This window comes from Homo sapiens, chromosome 2 (assembly GCF_000001405.40).
Source record: "Homo sapiens chromosome 2, GRCh38.p14 Primary Assembly".
Classification (NCBI taxonomy): Eukaryota; Metazoa; Chordata; class Mammalia; order Primates; family Hominidae; genus Homo; species Homo sapiens.
Genome location: NC_000002.12, coordinates 133884672 through 133890976, shown reverse-complemented (window position 1 = coordinate 133890976; position 6305 = coordinate 133884672). Strand labels below are relative to the sequence as shown.

Genomic DNA, 6305 nt, shown 5'->3' with positions numbered 1-6305 from the left:
TTGGCAAAATTCTACCTCTTCATAAATAAATAAAAAATCCCCCAAAACCAATAGCTATGTTTTACTAAGTGCTTACAATGGGTCAGGCACTGTGTCCAGTGTTAGCTGTGAGAGGAGCTATCATCAACCACAGCATCACCTCAGGGGAGTAAGCTTATTCTCTAGAGTTGCTCCACATACAAGGATGAGGAGCCGGCACAACACTACCCTACAGGGTACCCAAGACCTTTATTAGGCTTGAGATACCTCTGTACAAGCATGCCTTTTGTGAATGGATCTTTGCCATCTGGGCCTTTCTGAGGTTATTTTTGGTAGACATCCTTAACATCTCACTGCAAGACATAGCTGAGATCTGTAGGTCCTGACAGACTGAGTATACAATGGCCAAGCCACATATGACAATATGATCCTGACCTACAACCTCTGCAGCAATCAGTCCTGGGAGCCAAACCAACACCTCTGTAGCAATCGGCCCAGAGTGCTCAGGGCTTCTTCAATGACTGCTAACTTCTCTATTTCTTGCCCCTGTTGAGAGTCAAATATGCTCCTCAAACCCACCCCATAGGAAGCCCCATTTCTAGCAAGCCTGTCCCCAGCTTCCCGGTAATCAGAGAGCCCCTGAAGCTTGGCTTTTTTCTACTCTGAAGCTTTCCTACTGCCCTGCCTACCTTGGAGTCTCTGCCAAATGCAAGTGATGGAAGCTGCCTTCTTTGCTCTAGCAAGGTCCGAATAAATAGTCTCTGCATGTTCTCATTTGGGCGGTCTCCATTTAGTTTCACAATCTCCTCCCCACCACCAGGCTACCAGCTAGTATGCTACAAGGAAAGCAGGTCTCAGGAGGAATTCTGCCACACAGACAAGTATGGAGTGGCAAAGCACACACAGAAATGGTCAGACCCACTTGTTCTGTTGGTTTATGGAAGCTCCAGCCTCAGTTTCTCAAGGGCTTCCATAATATCTTACATGAAAGCTTCAACTGGAAATAGGTGAAGTGCCATTATAAACAAGAGTGGCAAGATAGCTGAGCTGTCCTCTTGGAATCCTGCTACAAGTATCAGAACACAGGGTCAAATCAGAGTGCCAGGCCTAGTGTTTCTCTCAAGAGGGTTTAGCTGCTGGGCTTACTAATTTCTTGTATTCCTGTTCATGTAAGGGTATGTACACCTAGATAATATTTCCATCCTTTCTACACGTGTTGAGCACCACTCATGTCACCAGTGAAAAATGGCTTTTATTATCCCTGTTGCTAACTTTTCAGCCCTCTAGCATGAATCAGGATAGTCAGATTGGAAGAGCTGCCAGTGCTCTGGGGTGGGAGTGCCTAAATGGAGTCTTTCATGTGCTAACAGTTCTGTGATGGTGAATCTCTGATTAAGCCCTTCAAATGTTAACCAACAGCAGGCCCTAGAATGGAGGTTCTTAATCTTTTCTGTGCCTGGACCCCTTTGGACTGCTAGTAAAACCCACAGATGCCTTCCCAGAATACTGTTTATAAAGGAATTAAAAATACATAAGAGGAAACCAATTATACTGAAATATATAGTAGCTATCAAAATTTTAAAAAACAAATACATGCGATGTAATAATACATGTGTTTCTTTATTAACGCATTAAATATTAAGGTCTGGTGGCAGGTCTCAGAACTACCATAAATTTGGAGTAGTCATGAGCATAAATATTTCAACGAATCTGCAACAGTTGTAATGTGATATGCAAAATCTCTAATTTGTAGTTCTTAAAGTCATGGGAACCTCTGCGGTTTTCTGCATTCATATTTGAAGGAAATGGTAAATTTTAGTTAGAGGTGAATAAAAATAAATACATAATTCTTTCACCCCTCCGAGTTCATGAACTCCCCTGAATGTTCTCTGCAGGTCTCAGCATAAGAAGCCCTGCCCTGGAATGTAGTGTTAAATATTCATACAGCACAGTGTCTATGCTGAAGCAAGGTACAGTATGCCACTGTTCCCGGTAGGGGGAATTGTCATTTATTTGGCATTTTCTACCCCATTGCCTCTAGACGATGAACTTCACGGCAGCAGAGATCACGTTGTGTTGCCTGCTGGATCGCCAGTGTTGGAACAGTGCCTGACACATAGTTGGTATTTAGCTATCAATCATTTATTGAATGACAGCATCAGATGGAGACAGCGGGTGCTGTGTCTGGACAACACCTCATCTGCGCAGGGTATCACTGCTGCCAAAGTCAAGGTCTCCCCAAGAACAGAAAGAAGGAATATTGGCACAGCCCTGGGCAAGTGAGGAGAGGTGGGTGCCTGTGGCTCTGAGCACTCCACCAGACTGCTCCTGGGAGCTCCAGGCCTGTGCACTCTTCCTGTTCTTCTGGGGTGATGGCTATCTTCTACTAGAACCTTCTTCTAGAATGGGCATCAAGCTCTTGTCCCTCTGCCCTCCATGCACTTCACTTGTCCTTTGTTGCTTCTCCTGTCAGGTCTCAAGATTTTTTGTTTGTTCATTGGTTGGTTGGCTTTTTGAGACAGGGTCTTGCTAGGTTGCCCAGGCTGGTCTTGAACTCCTGGGCTCAAGCAATCTGCCCGCCTTGACCTCCCAAAGTACTGGGATTACAGGCGTGAGCCACCGTGCTGGCCTCAAGACTTCTTTTTGTCCTTTTGTCCAAGAACAATCCTTCCTTCCATTTTTACTCTCCGCCTCACCTCCTTCCCCCCACCTCTTTTCTCTTTTGTTCATTATTCTAGAATTCTCTCCTCCCTTCGTAGGCGAACTTGATGTTCTTTATGCTTCGGGCATAAAGAACCCCATGATGGTATTGAGAACGCTATTTCCTTGGGGGTAAGGAAGGCTTTATTTTAAAAACCCTCTCAAGATGTATAGAGAGATTGAAGGAGAGATTGAGAAAGAGGTATGAAAACAATCTGAGCACTGTCTCACCACACCCATCTTGTTTCCTATTATTCTTACAACCTCTCTATGAAGCACATACTATAAACTACATTTTTGTACAGACCTGGAAGTTTAGGTAACATGCCTCAGTCCACACAGCTGGTAATTAATAGAGGAGACTGCATCTCCTTCTTCCCGTCTGCTAAGCCCACACCCATAGCTCCTAGACTCCTTGTCTAAGGCTGTGGAACTGGATGGTCAAGGTGGGAGTCATCTGCCTTACATTCCTAGGGTTGTGTTTCTCAAACTCCCATGGCGGAGGGCCCGTTTGACTGAATTTCTAATCTGTTTCAGACTGGTAAGTGCTTACCTGGCAGGACTAGTTCACAGCCCTTGCCATAAACGAATCACCAACAAGTTGGCAACATCCTGATGGGTCCAGCTCTGTTGAACAGGTTATTCTGGCCCTGGATATTATGGCGATGTCGAATTGCTATACACATTTCTAATGATCATCTTCACATTCCGCACTTGTCTGCTTGTGGAGTGGCAGCACACAGTTTGCAATGCGCAGCATTGGGTGGTCCCACGCTTGGAGTAACAGTGGTGCAGGACGTGGCAACTTGCACCATAGCCAGGTCTCCACGAATGCAGCTGCCCCATCAGCTATCCTTCTTCCTACTAAGCACATAGCAATCTGCAGATGTTTTACAACGTGGAGAATTCGCAGCTGGCTCAAGATAAATAATTTGACAATGTCCTCATTTACAGGGCAGCATATCTATGATTCCTTTGAGATGTTAAAGGAAATATTTTCAAAGTCTCCCTTGCTCTGCATGTGATGTTAATTATAGTGTTATTTATGGCTGTTGCTATGCGTTTTGGCTAAGAAGCATTTGAATCATTTAAGAGCTGCCGTTTCAATAAGGACTTGTTAAGGTGTTTGGACATCCTCGCTGTTGGCAATGGTGCCTGTAATTTTTCCTTCCTTGGGGCACCCGCAGGGATTTCTGTGCTCCTGGTAAACAGATGTATTTAAATAGTCTGCATTCCTCAGGATTATGATTTCTAGCTGACATACAGGCATGTGGATTTGCTGCTATCTTTTTCTATCAGCATCAGACACCCGAGGGAACATGTTCTCTAATCCGTTTCTTTGAACCTTGGCTTGATTCCTTCTGGGTGGTTCTGGTTCCTCCTTTGCACACAGCTCACCTTTAGGAATCCCACAGAGCTGGAAACCGCCCTGCCGTGCTGGCTTCTGTGTCTCAAACACACTTTTTGGTGCCACCCAGTGGCCAATTAGGTTGATTTCGGGTCCTGGAATTGTGACTCTCAGACATCTTACTGGTAAACCTGGACTCATTGTTTAAGGACGGCCCCGAATGTTTGAGAAACTGAGGTGCTTTAAGACAGTGGCCAAGGAAATGACCATCTAGAAGAGTATGATTTTTTTTTTTACCCCCAAAATACCCTACTTAGAGCACAGCTTGGAAAGCCTGTCTGATTTGGACTTGAATTTTGCTCAGAGGCTTGCTAGTTGGATGACACTAAGCAAGTTCCGTAATCTCTCTTAGCCTGGCTTATTCGTTTATAAAAAGGAGATAATAATAATAATATGATGGTGAGGATTAAATGATACACTTCTAGTGCTTAGCACAGTACTTGGCACATGATAACTGCTCATTAGTTATAATGGTCATTACTATCATTCTGATTCTTTGATGTTTCTAGTATAGTGGCTGGTAAATCCTCTATCAATGGTTGTTATTAGTAATAATAGCCAATTAAAAATTATTAATCAATTAGCCAATATTTATCAGTTACCTTTTATACATTCGAATCTTTGTTTTGAGCCTGGCTTTGAACAAAAGACTTGGGGGTAGTAATAGGCTTTTGCCTCCAAGGGCTTGGAATTCATTCAAGTGGAGAAACATGGCCAACAAATAGTAGTTCTGTCTGGCACAGAAGCCAGAGGTGTGGAGGAGGCTGGGGACAGGGTAAAGAAGGAGCTCTACCTCCGGAGCTCTTTCCAGCCAGCCAGCTCAGCCCTGGAGCACTGGGGCGGGGCCTGGCTGGGAGGAAGGAAAGGAAAGGGGTGAGTAGTGGCAAAAGCACCCGAGGCAGGAGACTAAGGAGGATGGGAGGGGAAGTCGGATTCTACGCAGGGAAGGTTAGGGAGTGACTGTCAAATAGAATGGTGAATCTTTCCTTGTCATCTTGTGGGTTAGTTTCCTGGGGCTTCTGTAACAAATGATGCAAACTGGGTGGCTTAGAACAATAGAAATGTCTTCTTTCGCAGTTCTGGAGCCAGAAGTCCAAAACCGAGCTGCTGGCAGGGCCCTGTTCCACCAGAGTCTCTACTGAGAATCTATTCCTGCCTCTTCCAGCTTCTGGTAGTACTGGGTGTTCTTGGGTTTGTGGCCATGTGGTTCCAACCTCTGCCTCTCAAGTCACATGGCTTTGTCGTCACTCCTATGCAGTGATGTAGGGCCCACAGGATAATGGTCTCATCACGAATCCTTAATTTCGTCACATCTGCAAAGACCCTTTCTCCGAATAAGGTCACCTCTACACGTTCCAGGGATGAGGGCTTGACATTTTAGGGGGCCGGTATGTAGGGTACCTTATTTCTTATTTTCTCCTCTAGTCTGAATTTATTAGATTTCCTGGCTTTTTTTTCTAGTTGTCTTTTCCTTAAACCTACTTTGTGTTTTTCTCATTCTCCTGGACTATTGTTTCTCCCCCCACCACCTCCAGGCTCTTTCCTTTTCTCTGGTAAGAATTGAGGTGGTAGCAGTTTTTCCAGGAAAGGAGCTGTTGGGTTTGCCAGGCCTTTGGTGCTATGTGGCCCGTACTGGGGACTCTACTCTCTTCCCTCCTTTTCTCCTTCCTTTTCCTAGACCACTTCCTTCCCACTCTATACCACCCACCCCGTGTGTCCTCATCACCCACTCATCCTTCACTCCCACTCAGCACCAGCACAGCCTCTTCTGGGAATCCTCCTTGACCAGCTTCCCCTTCTCTAGGAGTTCTGCTAGGTCCCCCTCCTAGGGACCCCCATGGCTGCTGCTTTGACTACATGTCCACTGAGGACTTTCTGGCAGCTCTGTTCAAACTTATGTCTTCAGGACCCAGGCTGACAGGAGGTTTATTTTAATATTTGTTTCTAGCACAATACTGACACCTAAAGCCTCCACCTAGAAATGACACACATCACTTCTCATGATTTACTTATTTATGAATGAGATGGGGGTCTTTCTATGTTGTCCAGGCTGGGCTCAAGCTGTCCTCCCACCTCTGCTTCTCAAGTAGCTGGGATTACAGGTACACATTGGCTAATTAAAAAAAGGTTTTTAAAGAAGTGACAGTCTAGCTATGTTGCTCAGAGTGGTCTCAAAATTCTGGGTTCTAGCAATCCTCCTGCCTCAGCCTCCTGAGTA

The 6305-nt window shown here is 45.2% G+C and overlaps 1 annotated feature.

Annotated features, from left to right (window-relative positions):
* Window positions 4196-4255: an enhancer, noted in NCBI's record as "active region_16541". NCBI's record gives its function as "activates an Ori minimal core promoter by ATAC-STARR-seq in GM12878 lymphoblastoid cells {active_cell/tissue: GM12878}" and the evidence as "EXISTENCE:reporter gene assay evidence [ECO:0000049][PMID:35858748]".